Genomic DNA, 27896 nt, shown 5'->3' on the forward strand with positions numbered 1-27896 from the left:
CTTGCTGAATTCTCAAAATTTTCATTAACCTGATAGAAACTTGCTGTGGGTAAGCAAACTGGGTGTCATCAGGGCATATTTCACAGGCTTTGGGTTCCTATCATCTAGTGATGTATTCGTAATAAAACTGGGAAAGGAACTTTTTTTAATTTCAGAGTTTGATTTCTGTATACATTCTGGAAATGTTCTGCTGTTTGGATTCATTGAGTTCAAGTATTTCCTTATCTATAAAATAGAGGTGATGATAGTGTTTCTACCCCTTAGAGATGTAGTCAAATCAACATAATACAGGCACTATGGTTATATAGTAAGTGCTCGCTAAATGATAGTTGCTTATATTATTCCCTTGCGGTAACATTACCCAAAGCGTTTTCTTTAAATTTTGAGTCCCAGAAATTCTCTGCAAAAAAAGTCATATAATCTTATAACTCTGAAAAATAATCTACTGTATCCCAAATTCATTTGACTGCAGACTTTCTTTTTTCTCCCCATATAAGGTATTTTGAATTCTTCGTGAATGCTAAAATTGATAGAATTTAGCTATTGTGGAACTATTGCCATACATTCTCAAAATTTATTTTAAATGAAAACAGATAAGCATGAACCCAATGTTATTGCTATTCATGTGGTTCTAAACCCTAATCTTCACAGAAAAATACTGTTACTCCTTATGCAAAACTCTGTATCACAGCCTCTATGACTTAAAACAGTTTAATATGGTATTACTGATGACCATGGAATAACTTTATTTTATGAAAAGAAAGACATAGCAAATATACTTGTGACTACATATTTGAAAACGCACTATAAGACTATTGACAATTAATGCACCACCCTTTCAGTTGGTAGATGTTTCTCAATTTTAAATATATTTATTTTTATGATATTGAAGCCCTATTCTGTTATTAGAATTAGTTTATTTATTTGGAATAATTCACTTCTTGGATTGGATGGATGCCAAGCTGGATTATTACCCTAGGCTGCTGATGGAAAGCATCCAAAAGTTTTACCAGTTCTTTTGTTAGTTTCTTGTATAGGGTAAGAATAAAAACTCATTTAAATTGCCATAATTTATGCAATGAAACCCAATAAACTAGCCAAATTTCAAGTTCCTGCCTTCCATCAACATTTCCATTAGATGAAAACTCCTTCTTTATCTAAACCAATTGATGGTAGTTAGATCTTTTAATGGATTTGATTCTCTACTTAACATTCATGAGTCTTTAGGATGAAAACTGCTTCAGAAAATGAAGATTTCAATGACTAGTTTAGTCTGAATCATCATGGCTGAAATTAGAAAACACAAAGCCAGTGTGATCAATGGGAAGATCATTGACATAAGTGTCAGTTTCTGTTAATGGTGTGGCCTCTAATTAATTTTGTGATCTTTTGCAAGTTACTTAATCCCTGTCTGTTTTTTACTCTGAGAGATAATAAAATTGGACCAAATCAATGGTTTGCAAATTGTTATATATGTGCACAACACTTTTGAAAAAAAAATCAAATAAAATCTCATGGATTCCTAACATGCAAGTAGAGAAAAGCAATATTGCAGCAATATTTAAGCTTCATAAGCTTAAATGGGTAAAATTGTGTAATGAGAAAAAAAATAATGTCTAGTGTTAGAGGAAATAGTTATAATCTTATATCAGTCTCATCTGTTTTTGTGTGTGTGTGTGTTTGTTGGAGAAAATGATTCATAGCTCACCTGCAATCTTAATACTCTTTAGTCCGAGCAAGAAGCTTGAAAGAGAAGTAATAGAAAATGTTTTTAAAGTTGAATTATTTGCAATACCTAACAAGTATATCCGTTCTCGTTAATACTCATGTCAGGCAAAAATTACCTAATAGACTAAGTGCAAAAATATCTATAGTATGATATCTTGGCACAGCATTTAAGTGGATAGACCTGAGCTGCATTCTTATTACAGGTCTGAATGTTTAGAAAGAAAAGAAAAAATGAGGTTTATGGAGAACTAATGTTGGTAGAGTCTTGTGTACAGCATATTCATTGAGTGCTAGCTCTATTCTCCAGGAGCCTGTTGTCTAAAAGTGGCCTGCTGTACCACCTATTACACATGCAATTTGTAATGCATTAATTTGGAGCTTCTGATAATTCAAACAGGATTAGCTACCTATCAAACCCCCCTTTTTCATCCTAAATTGGTAGAAGATAGCAAAGGAAAATTTAAAATATTTCAAAAAGACTTTTGAATATGGTATAAATATAATTTATGTTAAATATATTTAAAAGCAATTAAATATTTGACTATGTATTACTATATATGTACATGTAATGGTGATGTATGTATTTTCCATTCTTTACTATAAAATGTTAATATGTTAAGGCAGTTTAACTTAATTAATAGTTAAACTATCATATATTTAAATACTCTGGAATACTTACCCTTTGCAAATGGAAGCTGCTCCTTGTCCTTAATAACACTTTCTCTATAAGCTCTCTTATATGACCTCTACTTTGCTTTCTTACGGGATTGACCACGCCTCTATGAAACATACTAATGAATGCCCATGGCATGCCCATGCTCCCACCTAGTAATTTGCTACCTTCTCCTAACCCGCATACTTCTGCTTCTGCCAGTTGAGTTGTATGCTTACCAGGATTCAGTTATAGTTGTTTCCAAACTTATTATATCAGTCATACTGTTAATATTAGGTAATTAAATGTCACATAATCTCATAAATATGAGTATCAAAGAGTTGTTTTGCCTTTGAAAATTAAGCTGAATACTTTGAGAGGACTTTAAGCAAATTGCTTTTAAAAAAAGGTTTCAAGTATGGGAAAGAAAACTGGAAAATATTGGAAAGTGTATGGGCTTTGTGAAGTTTTTGCTCAGATTGTCCCTACTGCCTTTTGGTTCTCACTCCACTTTAAAAAAGCTTAAATTGGAAATGATTCATTGTGAATGCTGTTCATTCAAGAAAGATCATCAAGAAGGATCACTTGACTCTTGTAAACGGACCTATACTCAAAAGGCTTTGGCACACTGTCAAGATATTAGTATACAAATGTGCATTTGTGTTTAAGTTAAAATGAGGTATGAAGGGTAAAATGCAAAATAAGTATATATTTTCTATAAGTTCCCTGCTATAAATTACTTTCAATGAACTGAAAACTACCTTTCTTTCCTTTTTTAAAAAAATTTTTTTGGTTTTGTTTTTTGAGACATGGGCTCCCTCTGTTACCCAGGCTACAGTACAGTGGCGTGATCCTAGCTCACTGCAGCCTCAAACTCCTGAGCTTACATGATCCTCCCACCTCAGCCTCCTGAGTACTTTGGTCTATGAGTGTACACCACCATACCCAGCTAACTTTTTTTTTTTTTAGAGATGGGGTCTCACTATGTTGCCCAGGCTGGTCTTGAACTGCTGGTCCCAAGGGATCCTCACCTTAGCCTCCCAGAGTGCTGGGATTACAGGTGTGAGCCACTGTCCCTGGCCTGAATAACTACCTTTCTAACTACATCAGATAAGAGACTTTCTGCTATAGTTCACATTGGGCTTTTGTGCACCCAACTGCAGATCACAACTGTATTGTGACTGTTTTCCCAAAGTAAGTTTGACATTCAGTTTGCTTTTATTTATTTCCTTCATTAATTCTATAAAAAATATTTATTAAGCCCCCATTGTACTCCAGGCACTGCACCAGCCACTGGAGGAGACTTGTGTGACTGAGGTAGATATAGTCTGTGGCCCTAGTAAATTTGCAGCTTGGGAAGAATACAGATAAGTAAAATGAAGCACCATGCTACAAGAGAACACAGAAGGAATACTGACTTGTATTTGTAGGATGCGAGGCGGCTTCTTTGTTCTTTTTTTGTTGTTCTTTTTGTTTTTGTGGGGTTTTCACAGTTAAAAAAAAATCTTCCTCACTCCTTGGTATGAAACCGAATGAGAATTATCTTTGACAAATGATTGGCTTGCAGCTTATCCCTTAATGAGCAGCTCCTGTATGAAAGCCAGTGTTATACACACAGACACAGACTCACACACCTTGGCACTGTTTCCCAGACTGCCTGTGGCAACCGTGCTTCCAGGAAGCCCAAGTTCTATGAATTAGATATGCACTTAATATCAAATTAAATATTAGAAAACTGTCATCACAGCCATTACCAGGCATGCTGCTGGGACCCCCAAAAGTTTTGATTGAACGCTGCGCATTATCCATTAAAAGGAAAAGTATGGAGGCTCCAGATGTTATTCTTCACCAAAGGGGAGTACACCTTCTTTTGTTAGGCAAGCTGAGAAGGGGATAATCAACTTTCACTGAGCTGAGTGAAATCTAGGCTCCTAAGGCCTCAGCCAAGACCCTGGTTTATTCACCAGGGCCCTTCCCCTTGTGAGTCCTGAACCGTAATTCTTGTTCCCTAAGCATGGTGACCCTGCCAAAAACTTCACTTTCTTTTCAGTCTTTCCACTTAGCCTTTTGCCCTGTTAATCTTTTAGCCTTTTGCTCTCTTAACCTCTTGAAGAGAAAACCAGGGTCAGTTTTCTGCCTCTCACCAGGATCTTGGCCTCGTATATTTTCAACTTTGTCTTTTGAACCCTCCAAGGCTATCTAGAGCTCTGCTGATTTCTCTGCTCCAGTGGCGGATTCTTACTCTACATCTAAACTCTGCAAATGTCCCCGAATAAAAGAAGTTGCAGATCAACAGATCAACAACTCACCCCTCTGTGATTCTACCCTCTTCAAACTGTGGCCTTGATAGTCACCTATGCATCAGCAGTTCTCTTATGTCTTTTAACCGAGTTTTAAATTTAATTTTATTTTATGTGGCCTTTCTAGTTATTTTTGGTGAGAGCATCAGTCTGCTGCCCGACAGCCTATTCAGAGGCAGAAGTCCTAAGCCTGTATTTGAAACCACAGGGCAGGAGCTGTGTTCAAGCATGTAGCTTTTCATAAGTCTAAAGGACTTTATCCAGTTTCCATCTGGGGGCTCTAAAAAGGTCTTCTCTGCTCAGAAAGTTAATGTTCCTCAAGATTTGACAAATGCGTGTCAAAATTCATCTTGTTCCTCCTTTTAACATCAAATGGTGAGATTTTCTTACAAATACATTAAAGCATAACATTTAGTGATTCCATGTGTTAAGCCATTATTTGTTAAATCAGCTTTATTTTAGTACGGCTTATAGACTCACTTGGAGTTGACCAGGATTGATTTTGGCAGGGAGGTACATCCTCTCCCTGCTTTCTGAAGGTGCCATTGTGTGTGGAAATGGAGAGATGGTCTCGGCTTTGGCGGTGCAGGCACCTGGAAAGATGCTCAGTTTCACTCTGAGAAGCTTCGGTCAGTGCTGGTCACCTGTGCATAAAGAGCCAGTGGACTCAACTGTGGGGAATATCAAGGTCCCAAATATCTGACTGTCCAGAAGCATCTTACTGTCCTTAGTGAATACGCAGGAATCAGTCTTTCTCTGAGGCCGTGGCAGGGCACAGATCAATCAGGGAGAATAGTTGGTCCCAGACCAGAGCCCACCTAGAACTGAGGATGTGTAAAGGGTGTCTGACTGGCTTACTCCTTGGCTTAAAGCCACTTTAATCTAGGACGTTGCGGAAGCCAGAGTGTATGTCGATTCCATTAAGGAAAGAAGAGAAATGCTTATGGAAACAGTACCACCTCCATATCCATTGGCCTCCCCTTCCCGACCTCCACCCTGCTGTACCCATCAGTCATCTGAAAGGAAGATCCCACAGAGTTGACAGACTCCTTTAGAGAGAAGATCGTCATATGCTCTCCGTAGGTTACCTGTCTATTTAGAAGCAAACCTCTCGTCACCCGCTGCGGAGCATCTCGATGTTAGAAACCACGCCACTATTTTTAGTGTGTGTCCTTGTGCTTCTGCACGATGAGTCAGGGTTCTCTTTTAAAAAATACTTGGCATTCCTCAGAAGAAAGATAAACACATTTAATGTTCTCAGTTGCTACTATTCTAATCGCAAAGTCAAGAGTTCCTTCTTTTCTTAGCTGCCTTCAGTGCCACAGAACTATCTGGGCCTCTTCCTCTACCCCTCCTTGTGTGATCGCTCCTTTCAAAAGCAACAGCCAAAGCAGATGCAAGGGAGATGCATTGGTGCTCATAAATTCAAGGAGCTGAAATGGCAACAGCTGTGGCAATTTCAGGATTTCAGCAGGTAATCAAGTAAGTGCAAAAGCGGGATTTGACAATTCTACAGGGGACTGGGACAGAGGGCAGCGAGAACTTGAGCTTCAAGGAGAATCTTCACTAGCTATCAACAAGAAATGTAAATGCTGTGACTTTACCCAGTTAAGCACAGCAGATTTTCCTGCTTTCAACTCTAATCCTTGAGCAGCAGGAGTACCCTTTCCCATCTCACAACATTTGACTTTCTCAGATATATTTATTCTATGTTATATACTGCAGTTCACCTATGTATTTTGGGGTTAATTTATCACTGGTTGAATAACATCGTTCAATAGACTTATGAAAAGATGGGCATTTTCAGTTGTGCCAATTTAGGTGAGGCTTATGGACAGTGTTTCTTCCAAAATGTTCCCAAGTCTAAAGGACCATGATTCTCAAATTCTCTGTAAAGTATAACTAGGTCTCTTTCTCACCTTGGAAGAACAGCAGCTAGAGGCCAGCATTCAAGGCATGGAACGGAGAAGGTATATGGTGCCTTGTTCTCTTTTGTTATTAGATGTAATTATGAAATATAAAACTAGGACAAAAGCAAGTTGTAAGTGTTAGCATAGTGGCTACGAGCACAGACTCAAGCCAGTCTGCCTAGGTTCAAATCCCAGCTCTGCCACTTGCGGGCTTTGTGACCTAGGACAAGTTTCTTTACTGTTTTACTGTCCCAGTTTCTGCATCTGTATAACATTGCTAGTAATACCCACTGCAAATGATTTTATGAGAATTAATTTACTCACTGTTTGGGAAGTACTTAGAATAATGCCTAGCAATAGTAAGCACTCAGTAAATGTCTTTTATATAGAGCATGTATCTATCTCTTCAATAACAAGCACCTGTGCAACAGTCAGAACACCACAAAATAGCACTATAAAGACAGTAAAAAATATCCCTTTGTTTTTTTTTAACATGTCTTTGTATTAATTAGAGCTCTGCCAGCTGCAAATTCAGAAATCCAATTTCTGAACTAGCCTAAGGGGACACAAAAGGAACTTATTGCCTCTTGGGATTGGGAAGTTCAGTGTGCCTCTGATTTCAGGAACAGCTGAATCCAAGAGCTCAGACTCTGTCCCCATCACTGCTGCTGTCTCTCTCCCTTTGTCTCTTGACTGTGCTCACATAATTATACCTGCAGTCTTTCACATGACAGGAAAGGTGACCACCACCAGCCCCTTGCTTATACCCAACTAATACCTATATATTAGTTGGTCTTACACTGCTATAAAGACATACCTGAGACTGGGTAATTTATAAAGAAAAGAGGTTTAATTAGCTCACGGTTCTGCAAGCTATACGGCTTCTGCTTATGGGGAGGCCTCAGGAAACTTATAATCATGGCAGGAGGGGAAGGGAAAGTAGGCATGGTCTTCACATGGCCAGAGCAGGAGGAAGGTGGAGGGGAAGTTGCTACCCACTTTCAAACAACCAGATCTCAGGAGAACTCTGTCATGAGATAGCACTAGGGGGATGGTACTAAACCATCAGAAACCACCCCCATGATCCAATCATCTCCCACCAGGCCCCACCTCCAACATCAGGGATTACAATTCAACATGAGATTTGAGTGGGGACACAGAGCCAAACCATATCACCCTCCTAGCCTAGCATCTCCTGCAGAAATGGTCTCCCCTGATGGGAAGAGCTGTGACTGGCTCAGCCTAGAAGCAGTCACTATGGATGGAGGGATATTGTTACCTAGCTGGACCAGGTGCCTACCTCTGTACAGCTTGGGGTGGGGGGTGGGGAGGTTGGAGTGAGGCAAGGTTGGCAACAGCAGTTCCAATCAAACCACACCACAGCTATGGAAATGGGTACCCATGGGAATGAGTGGTCCTGGTATTAGAGGAAAGTGGCACTAGGGGATGATGTTGTGCAGTCCAAAGCAATAGATGCCCATCTGAAGCTAGCTGGGAAAAGGCTTGAGTTCATCAGCAGGAGTGTACATTTCATAAGACATTTCATTTTTGAATGTCTCATTTCATATTTATCCCATTTCGTGGACAAATATCCATTATAAACATATAAACATCAAATTATGTCTGATTTTCTTAAGTCAATGAATAGTAACTGATTATCTTTTGATCTACAATACTCTAAAAAGTAGTTATAATTATGTATAGAGATAGAGTCTTCATCCTTCTGTATAGAGATGGTGTATTAGTTCATTCTTATGCTGCTAATAAAGACACACCCGAGACTGAGTAATTTATAAAGAAAAAAGAGGTTTAATAGACTCACAGTTCCACATGGCTGGAGAGGCCTCACAATCATGGTGGAAGACAAAGGAGGAGCAAGGACACATCTTACATTGCAGCAGACAGGAGAGCGGGTGCAGGGGAACTCCCCTTTATAAAACCATCAAATCTCGTGAGATTTATTCACTATCACGAGAACAGCATGGGAAAGATCTGTCAATGTGATTCAATTACCTCCTACCAGGTCCCTCCCATGACATGTGAGAATTATGGGAGCTACAATTCAAGATGAGATTTGGGTGGGGAGACAGCAAAGCCACATCAGATGGCAAATAAATATGTTTCATCTATTATGCCAACCTATGAAAATTGGGTGTGAATTTCCTAGAACACTCTGTTGAGAGTTTCTGAGGTTGCGTCCTTGCTCAGACAAAATGATACCTGCCATCGATATGGTTTGGGATGTGGTGGTACATATGCCAGGTAGTAACTCCCTGCATACTGCCAGTTTAAGAACGCTTACCCACAAACTGAGGACATATGTGGAGGGATTTTCTGTTAGAGTCACTGTCAGAGCTGAGCTGCCAAACAATGGCAGAACTCATTCAAATTGGCCAGTTAACTGCCCGATGTAGCAGGTTATGCTCCTAACTGAGCAGCCTCACAACACCACACGTGAGTGCTGGGAGGCTGACTCAGCTCTGTCTAGAAAGAAGAAAATGCTGATTTACCTCTTTCCAAGCTGCTTGGATCTGCCTCTTGCAAACAACAAGTAAATAAGGGCAGGAGGTAATTTAAGCTTTTCTTTTTCATTTAGCTTTCTTTTGTAGTTTAATACTTCAACTGAGGTCATATATGTACTGTTTCATCAATTGCTAGGCGTAGTAAGTGTTCATCAATGGTAGCAATTTTCATGATTCTTTTCACAACTTTTTTCCTTATAAAGCATTTATTTTATCACTAAATAAAAAGAATTATATAGCCAAACTTAGTTTAAAGATTTGCTTGGAAAATTTCAGAGATGATACCCCTGTATTAATCATGTTCTTTTTTTTCATATTTTATGATGCTTTGACACTGTGGGGGCTGTGTGGACCTGGGGAGGGACTGCCCCTCCAGGGGTTAGCTAATTTTTAGAGATAGCAGACAACTTGCCTGTGAGCACACCTTTTGTATACAACCCCACCAATCCAAAGCCCATATCCTCAACCACCACCTTTATCTCACTCTAATACACCAAGCCAGTATTTCCACTGCCAAATCACCCAAGGCCGGGCATCAGACAATTAGAGACCACCCCTATGGCCAGAGCCTGCCCACATTATCCAAACTATCCAATTCTAAGCTTGCTCAAACCTGCCTTCCCTGCCTCACCCTTTCTCTCCCATGGAAACCACAGTAAGACTCTAGACCAGGCTTTTCCCTCATTCCTTCTGCTTCCTGACTGACCTGGGTACTTCCCCGGAGGCCTGACATAATATGGCATGCCCCTTCTCTTGGAGCCTGTAAGTAATAAACTCTTCTTTCAAAGACAGTTGTCTCTATATCTGTGATGAAACTGTCTTTGCAAAATTATGACGGTGAGAGAAATCTAACATAACTGACTCCATCTTGCTTCTAACTTCACAAGCTAAGCCTTTGCTCATTCTAAGCTAACTATGGGAGGAATTTTGTTTATAATTTAACTTTAAGACAAAGATGATAGCAGTTCCTTCCTGAAAGTAACCCCCACCTTACTCGGGGACCAAAATCACCTTTTTAAAACTAATGAAAGTCCACAAGGTTACAATTGTGATAGGAACCTGAATTCTGCTAAGATGTAGGTATAAACCCTAACCAGTCATTGTTTTATAACTTGCTTTTTAAAAATTACTTACTACTCAGGAGTGATGTAGCCACAAAATTTATAACTTCACCAATTGCCCCTATGGAGAACATTGCTATTGTAAAACCAAAGACTGGTGTTTGAGATATGTTTCAGATCTTCAATTCTGTATGAACCAACTGGCACCACCCAGACCAGTAACCCACACTCAGGAACTAACTCAGCACAAGACAGGGTCGACCCCCTATGATTTCATCTCCAACCCAGCCAACAAATATTCCCCATTCCCTAGTCCCCTGCTTGCTAAACTAGCCTTGAAAAACCCTAGTCCCCAAATTCTCAGGGAGGCAGATTTGAGAATTATCTCCCATCATGCTATTTGGCTGGCCTGCAATAATTAAATCTTTCCTTGCTGTGAACACTCTTGCTGCCCTCAGTGCATTGGCTTTTCTGGGCAGTGGGCAAGAAGAACCTGCCTGGGCAATTACAATCATACCTGTTTAAGACAAATCCCAGGGCTGGGTGCAGTGGCTTACACCTGTAATACCAAAACTTCGGGAGGCCAAGGAGGAAGGATTGCTTGAGCCCAGGAGGTTGAGGCTGCAAGCGAACCATGTTTATGCCACTGCACTCCAGCCTGGGCAACAGAGTGAGACCCCGTCTCTCAATCAATCAATCAAATCCCAGGTACATTTTAAGATACTCCCATAACCAAAAACGTAGGGCTGAAGAATAATATGCAAATAAAAAAATAGTCTCAAAACTGAAGTGAAAGTAAAAATGTGGAAAGAAGAAAGCCTTTGAATACAATATGTTGGCATAATTTATTATTTCCTCTCTCTAATCGTGTTTGGAAAAGAAGTTATCTAAATCCCAGGCAAATAGATATTGGAACTCTGGAATTTCTATGTAAATAATACCCATTTGCTATAGAGTTCTTTAATGAAGAACTTACTTTTACAAAATTATGGACAATATTAACATTACCAGAAATAATCTCCAATACAATCTTTAGCAATTTAGCAGTTAACTTCATCTCATCAAAACATGTTCAGACTTGGACCTTCTATTTTTGCATTTTCTTATTTTAGTTTCAAGAAAATTCTTAAGTGATTTCTTTTGTTTTTAGTGCCTAATTTTAAAACATCATGCTCTTGGGTGAGACATAACATGTCCATGTATGAAATTAAGCATAGAAAGAAGGGTTAAATTATAATAGCTTTTTGGAGTAAAGAATGAAGAGGGCAAACGTGATGAGGAAAAAGAGACTGTCAGTAATTGCAATGCACACACAAGGGAGAGCAGGCACAGTGAACATTTCAGGGACAAGATGGAAAGTGTACTCTGCACAGAGACTCTATACTGTGAAAAGAGGGAGAATCAATTTATGGGCCAAGAAAGACCTGGACAAAATTATACATTTTGAAGGAAATCACTTGTGCTGAAGCAATGAAAACTTTCTGGAGAGCTATTTGAGGAGGCAGATGTTTAGGTAATATATTGCTGCTTTGCATTTCTATAACACCTTCCATGTAAGAGCTGCAGAGTGTAACACAAACATTAATAAATTAAGCCTCGTGGCACCTCTGCATGATCGATAGACATAACAGCCATTTTTATAGTGTAGGAAAGGCAGCACCCTGCTCAAAAGTGCTGAAGTCATTTACCCAAGGTCATGAAGTGGGGGGGAAATTGGCAAAGTGTTTCAAAATGGAGCGTTGCGTCTCGCCACACTCACACAACCTGCCTCCTTCAATGGGGTCATAGAAGGAAAGAATGGGGTGCCATGTATGCCCTGGTTTCCAATGATTCACTTCAGGAGATATATCTGTAATTTAACTTGAAGATGGTTTGGAAATAGTAAGTCTTAGATCAAAGGCTTAACTCCTTTCTCTCTGGTTTACTCGGGAATTAATTTGTTTGCTAATGCTGGTCTCTCCTGGGATCACACTGGCCTTTAGCTGTAGAGTTTTGTGTTCATGTTACTTAATCTGATTATGCAAAGGACTTAAAATATTTCAAGAATATCAAACAACACAAACATGTCTATGTAGGCATTAATGTAATTATTTTGTTATTTTAGTTTCTAAAAAACTCATAAAATTGCAATTGAAAATAGTGTGCCAACTTTACAAAGGATAATGCCAAGTCCGTAACAGAATCTCTTTATTTATTTTTTTCACTTTGGTCAGACATCACTATATATCTTCCTAAATGCAACTCCTCTCCATTATCAACCTTGGCTTGGTAATAGCCTGTTCCATAGTAACATTGTCTTTTATTCCTCTTTCTCTCTGATAACCACGTATTTTCTCCATTAGAAGAATTGGCAGAGAGAAAACAAAGTAAGGAAATCAAATATAAATTCCCAGTGCTCCTAATATCTCTTGGAAAGAAAATGGACACCTCTGTTAACAAAGTTATGATGATTTCTACCTCGGTACACATTTTCGAACTTCTCAGAGAGGAACCAGCTCACCTGTAAGTCACTCATGTTCTCAATTTCCATTTTTTTTTTCTATAGCAAGAAAAAGAAGACCTTTTTTTTTTTCATTGAAGCAAGGCATAAGGCACTTGTCACTGTTTAACATTCAGCCTCATTTCTTTTCCAGAGCGGTCCTTTGAGAGCATTAGCACTCACACCCCATACAACTAGAACTCATGACACTGGCAAATGGTGTTTCTAGAGTGCTTTGCATTGCCCGACATGTTCTCACCCTGTTTTCTCCCCAATCCTTACAATTCTCCAAATGCAAGTGCAAACTGGGGTGCTGTCAAGCAGCCTGGTGCTTAAAGGGCAGAGCCAGGATGGACCCAGATTCTGGTTTCCACCATGTGCCTGATGGATACCATGCGGATGTGGAGCAGGAAACACTGGGTGCAAATCCCCACCAGGAACTGTTCATCCTGAAAAAAACCTGCTGCACATTGCCCTGGTCACCTCAACGAAAAGTGAGTGCTTATCCTAATGGGGGTGTGTGCACATCTAGAGGACAAGGGCAGTGAATGTTCATCATTTAGGAGAAAATAAACCCACCCCAAATGATTCCAATACAGGCTTCTGGGATTCTGATTTCAGCCTTTTGGTTGAAATCCTCAGAGATAATGTAGCTTTTTTAAAAGCATAGTTTGTCTTAGAGTTAGGATGTAAATAAGCTTTGGTACACAGCTCATTTCTGACACCTGTGGGCAAATCATCAGGGAAAAAGGAGAGGAGGTGAAGAAGAAGTAAACAGAAACACCCCATTGGTCAACCCACAGCCAGAGATGCTGCTGCTACACAGACATTTTGGGTTTGGGCGCTTCTGGGCTTGTATTAGTCCGTTTTCACGTTGCTGATAAAGACATACCCGAGACTGGGAAGAAAAAGAAGTTTAAGGGACTTACAGTTCTACATGGCTGGGAAAGCCTCACAGTCATGGCAGAAGGCAAGGAGGAGCAAGTCACGTCTTACATGGATGGCAGCAGGCAAAGAGAGAGCGAGCTTGTGCAGGGAAACTCCGTCTTATAAAGCCATTGGATCTCTTGAGACTTATTCATTGTCACGAGAACAGCACAGGAAAGACCTACCCCCATGATTCAGTTACCTCCCACCAGGTCGCTCCCACATGTGGGAATTCAAGATGAGATTTGGGTGGGGACACAGCCAAACCATACCAGGGCTCCACAATTTCTTCAGAACTGTCTTGAGTATCAAGGTTGATAAACTCAAAGAAAGAGATGAAGACTTTATGCTAGGAGAAAAACCACCCCCTCACCTGCCCTCCCAAGTGGGAATGAGGTTGCTTCTCAGCATGGGGCTCTGTGGTTTGGAGCCTGGGTCCTAGTCAGCTCTTTCTTGTCTCACTCTGGAGGAATAGCCCAGGGTCCACTAGATAATGTCTCTGCTGCTGGCATCTCATTAGTAAGGCTCTTAGGGAAAAGACAGACTCTTCTTTGGGAATTCCTACTGCAACCTTTGAAGAAGCCATAACAAAAAGAGAGAGAGCATGAAATCAGTCCTTCTAATCTTCCAGGGGATTTGGATTTTGTGATAGAATAGAAAACTATTTCCCAATTACCCAAGCCCCTGTTTGACTGAAAATGGGCAAGATCAAACGGTTTTGCCACAACAGAGGAAGATTTGTGGCTACCAATTCAGCTAAGATTCTCATTTTGCTAAAAAAAAAAAAAAACAAAACACAGTTGAAATTCTATTTTGAACTTGATTTCAACTATTATTTGACAATGTGGGAGTAATTATTTGTTTTCTGTTTGTATTAACATTGCAAACCACAGAAACTAACATAGAATAACTTAGGTTGAAAAAAAGTTACCAGAAGGATTTTATTGCAGAATTAACATGAGAGCTGGAAAAAAAAAAAAAAAAACAGGAGAAAGGGCAAGAACCAGAGGAAATGACACAACAGAGCCATCCACAGCTGGCTTAACCTGCATCTTAGTCCCTCCCTCAAGATGTAGCATCCTAGGCATATGCATTCTCTTAGATCTGCCTCAGTCAGTTTATTCCCCAAATGCCACCCTCAGCTTCATCTTGAGATTCCTCCAGAGTAGAAAGGGTGTTCAGATGCCAGGCAGCCAAGCATCACAAATGTCTACTGCAACACTTCACACTTTCGTCTACCTAAAAAACTTCTGCCATACTCTGAAACTCATTCTCATCAGTCAATATCTTTTTTTCTCTCTCCCTCCCTCACTTGCTCCACCCCCTCTCTCTCTTCCTCTCCCTCTCCCTCCTTTCCTCCCTTTCAGTGCTGTCTTACCCTTCTTTCCCACTTCCCCTCCCTAGCACCCTGATATAGTTTGGATGTGTGTCCCTGCCCAAATCTCATGTTGAATTGTAATCCCCAGTATTGGAGGTGGGGCCTGGTGGGAGGTGATTGGATCATGGGGGTGGGTTTCTTATGAATGGTTTAGCACCATCCCCTTGGTACTGTCCTTGCAATAGAGTGAGTCCTCATGAAATGTGATTGTTTAAACGTGTGTGGCACCTCCCCGCTCCCTCTCTTGCTTCTGCTCTGACCACGTGACATGCCTGCTCCTCCTTCACCTTCTGCCATGATTGTAAGTCTCCTGAGGCTTCCGAGAAGCCAAGCAGATGCCAGCATCATGCTTCCTGTATAGGCTGCAGAACTGGGAGCCAATTAAACCTGTTTTCTTTATAAATTACCCAGTCTCAGGTATTTCTTTATAGCAATGCAAGAACAGCCTAACACCCTCTACCATATCACTCTTATAAAAAACCTTGATAATAGCATTTTTATTATGATAAGATATATATAACCTGCAGTTTATGATTACTGCCTTTTTTAAGTGTAGAATTCAGTGCCATTAAGTACGTTCACAATGTTTTGTAGCCATTAACACTTTCTATAGCAAGCTAATTTCAGTGAAGGCTTTCCTCTGATGAATGTGGTCTGAGGGGATTAGAGGTAATTTTGTAGAAACTAAGATGGAAACTGATCCATTATCAGGGAAGGTGCCTGGCATGAAAAGGCACATTATCATGCCTTGTTGTAGAAGGCAACATATGCCATTTATAGAATAGAACCACTTTTATTACTGCTATGGCTCATCAGCACATAGCTGTTGGTTTGTATTGAAAAGTAGACTGCTCCCAGGTAGAACCCTTTGGTTCAAGCATGGCCAGTTGATTTAGCATTGATATCCCTATCCAGGCCTCATTAGTTGCTTCATAAATAATTCTCCAGTGCAAAGTTAGGAAGTTAAGTAAATTCCTAATAAATGAAATAGAATCCAGTGTAACTCCAGTAAACACTGGAATTGTCTAGATAACTAAAACATTAATTATTTACTTTGTTTGCTAATGTGTTATCTGTATCTACATTCTAAACATATTCATCACGCTTACACATCATCTAAAAAGAGAACCCTTCTCTGGCCCTCACTTTGTCACAACTCTGCCATCACTGACTTTTCATAAGACCCCCAACCACCAGTGTTCCCGGGCAGGGGAAAAGTTGCCTCCACTGAAAATAACATAACTCAGCACCGTTGACAACACCCATGCAATTGATTCTATTATTCCTCATCGTTTGGAATTTTAAAAGCTAAGTGACATAAATCCCTGCCACTAATAATGTCCTCACGATTATTATGGTCGTTCGCATTTCCTGACCATATTAGGCAACTTACCTGCTTAGGAAGTAGATTTTATAATCTATCGGTTTTCATACAAATATTTTAAACAGAGAAACCGGAACAGGTGTGAGAGTGGGGATGACAGTCTTAGAGAACCTGGATTCAATGCCATCTAAATAAGGTGAGAGAGAAAGCAAAGAGTTACAAAAAAGCCTGAAAAGTTTTCATCAATTGTGTCGTTGTTGACAGATGGGTCAAAATCAAAGTTGATGATCAGTCATATGATCTTCAGCAGCCCTGGAAGGGTGTGAGTTCTCGGCATCCCATGCAGGAGCTCTGAATGTACAAGAGGTGCTGAGGAGGGAGCATGCGCCGGTGCGTGAGTATGGTTCATGTCGCCCCTCAGGGTTGGAGGGTGGTAATTGACCTGTGACACTGGGTTGAAGCTGGGCTCTAACCTAAGGATTAAACAGAATCCTGCCCCGGGGGAAGCACCCGCCTTCTGCCATTGAGAAGTAACAATTAGGCTTCTCCTTGGAGCTCACTGTTCGATGATAGTGTCATCTCCCAGCATTCTAGTCCCATTTCCTCCTGTGCTGAGAATCAGCTATAGAGTGGAATTGGCAATTTTAGGGAGCCTTGAAATGTGAATCTTTTTTGTCTTTTTACTGTTTTTCATCCACATGGTGAATAGCTGGTAAACAAACTCACAGAGAGCCTAAGTTACAGATGAACTCAATTTCTGGTGCTGTTATCTCCCCAAATTGCTTGTCTTCTCCTTTCAAGGTTTTCACTCAGAAAGGTACAGAATTACCACTTGATGAGTTACCATGGCAACCCCTATACATTATCTTTTAAATATCCCAGACATGCAGAGTCTAATTTGACTGCAGGGATTTTAATTCATGACTTCTATGTTTTGTATAGTACCATGTTTTTAAAGTTAATGAATTATAAACAGAAAAACATAGTTAAATTGGCTTTGATTAAAAGATAGCTTATTTAGCAATGCTGCTTCCATATATGTTCCTCAAACAACAGAACATTATTTCAACCTATTTCAAATCTATACCACTGAGAGACTGCTGCACACTTCTGCAATAGGCTGTGATCCTGGGAACCTGGGATGGGAACTTCATTATTAGTAGAATCTAGTAGAGTTGGCCTTGCTATGTTGGTGTCTGAGGCTGGCTCTTTCTGGTTGTCTCAGGATGCCATCAGTGATTAGTAAATAATAAATTATACCAAGAAAGAAGCTCGTTTGAATGTTTAGTATGCCTTGCAAGGGAAATTAGGGACAACGAATAGACCTCTTCTATTCTCTTTGCACTTGATTTGCAAAAATATTTGTTTATTAAATGAGTTATTACATGGACAGCAGTTAGAACAGTGCCTGGCACTTTGTAACCAGTCAGTGAGTTTCATCATCATTGTTTGCATTTTTACAATGATTCCCAGTACAAAAGCCTTCAGCATCTTGGGCTCCTCAACACGCTGGGCTTGCATGATCCTCATCACACTGTTTATCTTACTCTTGACTACTGCTGTAAGCCCTGGATTGAACTGTTCCACATGCCCTCTCACCATTATGTTTGGATGATTTTAAAGAGATTTCTGTTTCAAAGAAATGTAGGAAGAAGAATTTCACAGCCTCTTGGGTTGCAATCTTATTTGGTGGTTAAGGTGAATATAACTTAGATTGTGTATATCATTATTAGGGGAATCTTCACTAACCTACAGAAGCAGTAAAGAAGTTGTATCACACTGTCTTGAGCTTCTCAAGTTTATTTCTGGTGCTCTCCAGAGCCACTGGCATCTGTTTCAATGCCCTTCACCCAAAAATGGTTTGGAATGGACACGCACATTATGGACGGTGTAGATGGCATGGTGGGAAGGAAGGGCTTTTTACTGAAAGATCAGGCGATTCTGAGAGGGACATTAGAGTCTGGGAGAAATAAAAGTTGAAACAACCAACAATCCACTTAGCTGTCTTCCTGCAGCATAAATAGGAAGAACCACCTAAACACAGATACCTACGACACCTGTTTTCCTGGGGGCATGTCCCGCCATCCCTCTCTGCTCGCTGGCTCCTAGCACCTCCACCCCTGATGCCTCACAAACAGCCTAGCCCCTTCCCTCAGAAAGCTCTACCCCTCCCCAAAAGAAGAGAAGAGTAACCTGAACATTTTCCTCCACCTTGCAATTTGAGTAATGCCTCAGCTCTTCAACCAATCTTTGCCGATATTTTCCTCTTCTTGAGTGTCGTAATCTCTGGAGGAAGATAATGATGGCTCCAAAGAATTAGATAAACTGGGGCATCCCAGTCTCAGACCATTCTCCACTCCTAAGAGAGCTTGCAACTGACGTAAACCTTAATATTTTTTCTTAGAGTCACTAACCCAATTTCGTCTCAAAGAAAGAATATCTATTCTGTTGTCATGACTTTGGTCTTTTTCTTCTGATAAAACATGCCCCGCCACCTGACCCTTTTCTGCCCCTGAGCCCTGCTGCCTCTTTAGAGAAACACTTAGTTGTCAATGGTTGTTCTCCTTGTTTTCTGTGTGGGATGAGTCTTGCAGTTATGTGCCACTTTTTTCAAGGATTGTGTCGTGTAGGGGGACATGGTGTCGGGGAGGGGTGGTGGAAGGATTCAAGAAGGGATTGCCAATTCCATCATAGGGCTAGAAAGAACAATAATTCTCCTGGTCTCTAGTTGAGAGCAAGGGGAGGTTTGTGGACTCTGTGAGGGAGACAATGGGGCACTCTGCGCATAAAGGACTATGCACACCACATGACAGGTGCTCAACGAATCTTTCCTCTTGAAATTTAACTACCTTCTTGATATTTCATTGCTCCTTAGTTCCTCCAGAAAAGAGAGTAGAAAAAACAAAAGGGAGGATAATATGATTTTTCACTGACTTTTTAAAGCAATGGGATGTTTATTTTATTAAAGACTTTTGATACATACTAATGGCTTTAAGCATGGTAATGAATATAATGCATTTTAAATCTTCCTTACTCTTCTGCCTGCCTTCATCTTGGACAGAATGATTTTTACCCTAATTAGGGAACATGAGGTGATAGAGAAAGCTACAAAGTGTCACTTGCTCATATATAAAGGCTGGATGCATGAGAAGCCCCCCATTTTTTATAAAATGTATTCAGTCTGTGGTCTAATCTATGTCTCAGCAGTTAGCAGAAAGTGTCTCTGATTTGGGCCCTAAGAAAGACACTGGAAAAAATCCCAAACTTCACTCTCCTAGGATCTTGCAACCAAAGCTGACTATTGGTGGCTACACTGTGTACTAATGGGGTTAGTGCTACATGCAAATTATGTGGAAAAATAAAGCAAGATGACTCCACAGATTTTTACCCATAACCACAGCTACATCTGCATGGGACAAGGCAAGCCTGCCATGCCACCCACCCCCATCTCAGGCCTAAGAGTGATGGAGATGTGTTCAGATGAGAGTCTGTGACTCAGCCTGCCATACCTTCCTCTCCAAGTTCTATTCAACATGGAAACCAACTGAGGCCAGGGACTTAGGTGTCAGCTCCCTAGTTCAGTGTCAACTTAGAACCAAGCAGCAAAAAGGGTGGGTAGCTCGACGGAGAGATGGAGTAGCAGATGGAGCTATTTTATTCCTTAATTAACATAACAGCTGTAAGCAATCTCTCCCCACCCCCATAATCTTACCAACAACACTGAGGGGTTCTACCTGTGTTTATTGGCTGTTTGTGCTGTGTGTTTCCAATAATTGACAACATATGTGATTTTGTTATTCTACACTGAGCTTGCTTCGTCTGCATATTCATTAAAAAAGAATTTTTAAAATCTTTGTCAGATGTTCTACATCTGAATCATCTTCTAGTATTAAACCACAGCCAAGAACTTTTATATCTTTTATCACATTAATATAAAGATTCATGGAAATTTGGGGACTTGGTGGTTGAGAATTTTTCTAGTTTCTCCAATTTGTTTACTTTTTAAAGGCAAGCTGTAAATATTGGTGATAACGATGTGCTGAATGGAATTATATTTCTATATCCACTTCAGAAAGATTAGACTAATCCAGGAGCCAGAAATCAGTGCAATTACAAACTATCCAATTCTTGGTTGGAGTTTTGAAGCAAAGTTTTTAAAGAGTAGTTTGTGGTTTAAGTTGCATATTCCCTCTGTAGTTTACTTTGAGCTATTTGAAATGCAGAAGTACATATGTGTAAGATCATCCGTTATATCACACATAATATATAAAATGCAGATAACTGTGTAAGGCAGCTCACCAAATGGTACTTGGCATGCAATAAGCATTAAATGAATATGAATGAATAAACTAAAGAAAACGTGCTGTCCCTAACAGGGTCGTATCTGATTCCTGTGGCCAAGGAAGTGCAAGAGTCTGTGGGAGGTAATACCAAATGTTGCCAAATATGGCCTGGGGAAACAGATCACCAAGATGGACAGTATACTACGATATGTTGAAAATGGTGAAAATATGCTTTATTTACTTGAAAAAAATCTTATAAATCAGCTGAAATCGGCCACAGAAATATTTCTTGTGTGGATTTTAGCTTTTCCTCTACAAACTCTAAGCTGTAGAATCGAGCCACTCCAGTCTCTGTTGGGGATAGTCAGGGAGGCTGACTGGCTGGTGTTGAATTTGGTCCCAAGAGCTTCTTCATCATCCTCCTTCAGCTTGAATATCAGTAAGGCAAAAATAAGCTACATGTAATGTGGGCATCAGGAAGGTGAAAGAGTGGTTTACAATTGCAGACAGCAGTCTCCAGACATTAAAAGATGAGGGAAGGGTGTAGGAATGGTGGACTCCCAAAAAAAAAAAAAAAAAAAAAAAAAAAAAAAAAAAAAATTCTCCCCCTGCAAGGAACCATGTAAGGCAATCAAAAGACATAACAATAACCAACATCCACGCAACTCCTGCCAGGTGCCAAACGCTGGATGACCTCACTATCCTCATGGAAAAGGAGGTGGTAAGTACTGCTCATATCTTCTTCATTTTCCTTTTGAGGGAACCAAGACACAGAACGATAAAGTAACTTGCTTAGGTTACACCATTAGTGAGAGGCACAGCTCGGTTTCAAACCCAAACTGAGCTATTAATATTTCAGTAAAGCACCTTTATATAAATAAGGAGGTAGTTCCTAAGATCTTATCATGGCTGTGCGGCTGCAGATCTCTTCACTACTCCAAGCCCTTTTTTTTTTTTTTTTTTTTTTTTTTTGAGACGGAGTCTCGCTCTGTCGCCCAGGCTGGAGTGCAGTGGCGCGATCTCAGCTCACTGCAAACTCCACCTCCCTGGTTCACGCCATTCTCCTGCCTCAGCCTCCCGAGTAGCTGGGACTAGAGGCGCCCGCCACAATGCCCTGCTAATTTTTTTGTATTTTTAGTAGAGACGGGGTTTCACCGTGTTAGCCAGGATGATCTCGATCTCCTGACTGCGTGATCAGCCTGCCTCAGCCTCCCAAAATGCTGGGATTACAGGCGTGAGCCAGCGCGCCCGGCCCGCTCCAAGTACTTCTACACATAGCATAGGGTTCCCCTACAACTAACCACGCCGGCGACCTTGAGAAAATCCCAGACCCTTGAAAATCCAGGGCAGCCACTCCATGGTCCCTGCTCTCCCTGCATGAATCATTTGCATCTCCAGACCATGTTCCTTTCTGACCCCTAATGTTTGTCAGCCTCTCACCCCTGCGCACACCAGGGTGCCCCTTCCTTCCTGCACTGCCTTCTTCCTTGTTCTTCAGCTGTCAGATTGACTCCTCCTTTAAGAGCCATAAAGTTTGTCATGGCCAGTCCAATGCCAGGGATTATAATGCTGTACACATTCATCCACTCAGTCAACAAACATTTATCAATGTGCTTTCAGCATCAAGTTACAGAAAATCCATCATAAACTGGATTTAGTAACAATGGAATAGTTGGTTCGCATTCCTGGAAGTCACAGCAGGAGACCAGTGTTTAGGTTGCTTAGACTGGAAGCTTTAGTTCTATTTTTCGGCAAATTCTTTTTTTTTTTTAATTTTTATTTTTCTTTGAGACGGAATCTCACTCTGTTGCCCAGGCTGGAGTGCAGTGGCACCATCTCCGCTCACTGCAAGCTCCGCCTCCCGGGTTCACGCCATTCTCCTGCCTCAGCCTCCCGAGTAGCTGGGACTACAGGCGCCCGCCACCAAGCCCAGCTAATTTTTTGTATTTTTAGTAGAGACGGGGTTTCACCGTGATAGCCAGGATGGTCTCGATCTCCTGACCTTGTGATCCACACGTCTCGGCCTCCCAAAGTGCTGGGATTACAGGCGTGAGCCACTGCACCCAGCCGTGCAAATTCTTTTAAAAAGTTGTTTTTTTTTGTCAATGAATTTGTGACTCTACCCTCCTCTGCATGTTGACTTCATCCTCACTTTGTAGAAAGATGGAATAAAGAGAGTCGGTTCTGGAAGCAGAAGTCAGAACTTTCTCAGGAGTCCCTAGCAGCTTCTCATTGGTCTGATTGAGTGGCATGCCTGTCCTGGACCAATCACCAGCAAGTGGGATGAAATTACCCCTGGTGCTATCATTCCCACACTTGGAGCCAGGGTTGTGGTTGGCATATATAAGGGAACTTAATTCCTATGTGAATCTGTGAAATAAAGTAATTCATAGTTTGTAGCTCATAAATGCACAGTATTTCATTCTTACCAAGCAGGGAAATACTGCACACAACTAATTCAACAATTTTTATTTCATTTCTTGATATGTGCACATTCTGCTAACACTCTCTACATTGCTACTCATTGTGATTAAGGAAGGACCTAAGGAAATAAAAGAACCATGGGTTGCCTTATCTTTCCCTTCCATCATTTTCAGAATAAGTGTTTGACTAACACAAAGGTGTAACATGAGTAAGAAAGGCTGTGAAAAGCTTCCTTGATCATTTGTGTTTCTTAGAATACCACTGCCTTCTTTCTGTGTCCAAGCAAGTTATGACTGGAATGGAAAGTATAGCCACCCGGGGCTGTCAGTACCCCTACCTACTCAATTGCAGACATGTTGATACAGAACATGATCATCGAATTCCAGTGAAGCCACAGTGATGGGAGTCCAGCAAGAGTAAAAGCAAGTAGAAGGTAAGTATGTTACGGAGGTAGCAAATGGGATGGCTAAGATAGCAGATGTGCATATTATGTTTATCTTACCTGCTCACTGTGTGCTGTGTTGTCCCAGCAGACTTTACTTGCAAACCAGAAGTTCTAAGATAAAATTATTAAGCATTTCAAGATGGTAATAGCAGAGCATTTCCCCAAGCACAGGACCCTTCTGAGCATGTGGCCCTGTCACCTGTCCATGAAGCCAGCCCTGGATGAGTAATTACCTAGACAAAACTAGGGTTCTGTTAGAAAGGAGGGGATGGAGGTTGAATTCCCAGTCAACCTTGTCCTGCATTGGCATTGACTTCATTTTTTAGATGAGGGATCAGGGGCTCAAAAATGTCTGTCTAGTTGTTGTAAAGCTGATATTCAAACCTAGATCAGTCTATGAAACAAGTACATGTCCACTACACTCTTCCTTTTCTCGTATTGATAACCTGTAACATGGTATATTAGTCTGTTCTGCATTGCTATAAAGAAATACCTGAGATTGGGTAATTTATTTTAAAAAGAGGTTTAATTGGCTCATGGTTCAGCAGGCTGTACAGGAAGCATGATACTGGCATCGGCTCAGCTTCTGGGGAGGCCTTAGGAAACTTAAAATCATGACGAAGGTGAAGGGGGAGGCAGCATGTCACATAGCTGGAGCAGCAAGAGAGAGCAGTGGGGAGGTGCCACACACTTTTAAACTACCAGATCTCACAAGAATTCACTCACCGTCACAAGGACGGCACCAAGGGGGATGGTGCTAAACCATTCATGAGAAACCCACCCCCGAGATCCAGTCACCTTCCACCATGTCCCACCTCCAACACTGGGGATTACAATTCAACGTGAGATTTGGGCAGGGACACAGATCCAAACTATATCACATGGGAATCAGTTTTACGTCTGGATTTGTGTGTTCCAGTGGATTGTCACTAAGTAGAAATCTATGCTCCTGGATCCCTCACAGAAATCAATTGGAATTCTGTGTAAACAAAAATACTTCCTAATGAATTCTAGGGAGAACCATTTATGTGGGTTTACGTATTCAATTTGTTATCACTGCTCCTAATGCTAGGAGGTGTGCGTAAAAGGAAGAAGGATTCCAATATTACATTAAGGGAAGCCGTAAAAGTCCCTTAAAGGGACGCGAGATACCAACGGTTTGAATTGCTTAGTCTCATTTTTGAAACAGGCCCCCTTTTTAAATGTCTGGGCCTTGAAGCTGGAGATTCCGCTTCTGCTTCTCTGGGCTGGTGTTTCACAGGGCACTGTTGTAGAGATGTATTTCAGAGAATGACATTCAGATATTGGGAAGTAAATGATGAATGAGCAGACATTATTTGGGCAATGCAGTTTTCAGACAGAGGCTGCAAGAGAATATATTTTCGGGTGCTTCTGTTGGTATTTAACTTGCAGACTGTATATACAGTAAATCAGGAGGGCCAATAATACAGTACATAGGGAGATGTTTTATGCAGGGTTCTGACAATGTACAACAGCTGCCCTAGCAGAAGGGGTATGGATTTATGGACACGCTTGCAGGTGATGACAGCCAATATGTAGCAAGGTTCTCTATCGATACCTGGAAGTATTTATTTTTTTGGTTCATCCTGAGGTAAAGGAAAAATGAAAGGCAACTATGGATCTTTTGACACCAGATATGCAAGCTGCGTAGCAATTGCATAGCTTTTAAAGGATGGAGAAAGAGCTTAATATAACACACTCGCTCGGAGTCCTTTTTAAGACTCAGTTTCTTGGTGTCAGTACCATCCAGAAAAGGTCTTTTTTTTTTTTTTTTTTGCATCCCTGATGGTTCTCTCATTTTATCTGTGGGGTGGGGCCAACTTATCCCATAGGCACAGCAGGCGCAGCGGCTGAGCCCACACCACTTTCAGGGGGCCACAGAAAATGTTTCAATTTTAGCTTCTTTTAAAATCAGAAGAAAAATGAATATAATAATAACAAATATATAGTGATTGGTCCAGCATAGATTATACTTGTCTTTACACCAATGAAGTCATAAAATATTTTAATTATTTTTTTAAATGCAGGAAGAAGCCCAGAAAAACCAAAGCGCCTAAGGCCCATGAAAGCTGTAATGACTCCTTACCATGAAGGTGAGCCAGGCTTAAAATCTCGCTTTTTCCCATATCCCCAGGCAGGCACCAGAGACTGCCCGTGGCATTGGGCATTTGATGAGGGCGAGCTGTTTCTGGTCTCGAACTCTCTCTGAAGAAACTCAGCTAGGGATTGGGGCCTGTCCATGAACCAGGCTCCCTCAGCCCATCCAGAAGCCACTCCCACAACCTTGACTCGATTTTCTCCCTACCTCACCCCAGAGCTGAGACACTTTCATGACTCCTCTGAGCATCTCTCCAGCTTAGCAGATTCCTAGGGTTGCCGTAACAAATACCACAAACTGGGTGGCTCACACAACTGAAAGCTATTCTCTCCCAGTTCTGGAGGCCAGAAATTCAACTCAAGGCGTCAACAGGGTTGGCTCCTTCTGAGGGCCATGAGGAGGCATCTGTCCCATGTCCTCTCCTAGCTTCTGGTGGCTTGCTGGCAATCAGATATCCCTTGGCTTGTAGATGCATCATCCAGATATTTCATCTTCACATGAAGGCATTCTGTGAGCATGTCTGTGTCCATTTGCCCTTTCTTTTTTTCTTTTTTTGAGACCGAGTCTTGCTCTGTCGTCCAGGCTGGAGTGCAGTGGAGTGATCTCCACCCACTGCAAGCTCCGCTTCCCAGGTTCACACCATTCTCCTGCCTCAGTCTCCCAATGGCTGGGATTACAGGCACCCACCCGGCTAATTTTTTGTATTTTTAGTAGAGACGGGGTTTCACCGTGTTAGCCAGGATTGTCTTGATCTCCTGACCTTGTGATCCGCCCATCTCGGCCTCCCCAAGTGCTGGGATTACAAGCATGAGCCACCGTGCCCGGCCCATTTGCCCTTTTTTATAAGGACACAAGTCATATTGAATTAAAGGCCACTCCACTATGACCTCGTCTTAACCAATTACATCTGCCCTGTTCCCAAATAAGGTCACATTCTGATGTATGGGGAGATAGGGTTGCAACATCTGAATCTTTGGGGGCCAGGGAGGTGTGGGGCAATAGAACTCCTAAAATCAGTTCACGAAGATGCTGTGATCTCAGTGTGGGTTTGGAGTGTGAGCCCCTTCTGCCTGATGTTCCAAAGCAACTCAGCGTGAGTGAGGCCTCTGCACCTCTCTCAGTTCACTCTTCTCCATCCCAAGGGAGGTGTGTGCCCCCTCACTTCCAGGAGTGTAATCAGGGATTCTCGTGCCCAGTGCCAGGTAGGGGGGAAGGGAAAAGAGACAGGGGTCTCCATCACCTCCTGTATAACCTCAACGCCTACTCAGCAGGAAGTGGGTAAAGAGTGGACAGAGGAGTTGAGGTGAAACAGAAGGTCGCCAGATGTGGGAACAGAGGAGGAGGTAGCTGACAGGTAGGACCAGAACCAGCCAGCTTTATCTGATTGTCTCGATGTCAATTTCACACTACTCTTTTCATGAGCAGGGTGGAGGATCCAACCCAGGCCAGGGTCAGGAGCATAGATGCTGAGTCTGAAGAGCGGGTGTGGGTGTCGGGAGGCAGGGGGGTTTGTAGGGCTGGCATGGAGCCCAGGACACATGTGGGAAGCACTGAACAGTTCAGCACAGCAGCTGTAGGCATTAGCCAGTTTAGTTAATCAGCAGTGCAAGCCCCCAAGGCTCAAGTCCTCTTTGTACAAAGATGACAGTAAACAGGAGTGGGCGCAGTGGGAAAAGAATAGACTTGAGAGTTAACCAGACCTAAATTTAAATTCTAATTCTGAGTCCACTTGGCTTTAGGCAAATCACCTTATCTTTCTGGCCCCAAGTTCCCACATCTTTTAAATATAAAATGGGAATAATAATAATAATAATACTTACCTTATAAGGTTGTTGTGAGGGCTAGATGTACTTATATGAAAGAGAGAGTCCTGGCAGGTGGTAGGTGATGAATAAATGGTAGCCAGTAATGGTGGTGAGAGAATCTTGTACTAACTAAATAGTATCACTCACACTATGTGCTTGAAGTCGAAACCAAGGCTTAAACTTCCAGGAGTGGTTCTTTAGTTGTGGGCTTAAAATGTACACACAGGGTCTCACATATTGTCCCTGGGTTAAAATTTTTGTAAAATAAGTGTCATTTTTCTCTCTATGGGACACAGATAGAAGTGGTCAGGATGTTACAGGGAAGTGTATTCTTTCCTATTATCAAAGGGGTGATAATGCCCAGTTATTGTCCTGGCAGTTGGACCTCTGCTCTGCTGTCCTTAAAAGTGAGTGGAGGCCAAGTGCAGTTTCTCACGCCTGTAATCCCAGCACTTTGGGAGACTGAGGTGAGTGGATCACTTGAGGTCAGGAGTTCGAGACCAGCCTGGCTAACATGGTGAAACCCCATCTCTACTAAA

The 27896-nt window shown here is 41.4% G+C and overlaps 1 long non-coding RNA gene across 2 annotated transcripts in view; it reads left to right on the forward strand.

The window, feature by feature from the left end:
- Positions 1-6048: 6048 nt before the first annotated feature.
- LINC02284 (long intergenic non-protein coding RNA 2284) overlaps positions 6049-27896 on the forward strand; it is a 116044-nt gene continuing 94196 nt past the window's right edge. Inside the window, exons 1-5 of one of the 2 annotated variants that reach the window (NR_187174.1) lie at positions 6049-6154; positions 16546-16671; positions 21240-21285; positions 23243-23421; positions 25482-25547. This is a non-coding gene — a long non-coding RNA (long intergenic non-protein coding RNA 2284). Of the gene's footprint in view, positions 6163-16545; positions 16672-21239; positions 21286-23242; positions 23422-25481; positions 25548-27896 lie in introns of both variants that reach the window. The other variant, NR_187175.1, reaches the window with a different exon arrangement.

Source organism: Homo sapiens, chromosome 14, assembly GCF_000001405.40.
Source record: "Homo sapiens chromosome 14, GRCh38.p14 Primary Assembly".
Classification (NCBI taxonomy): Eukaryota; Metazoa; Chordata; class Mammalia; order Primates; family Hominidae; genus Homo; species Homo sapiens.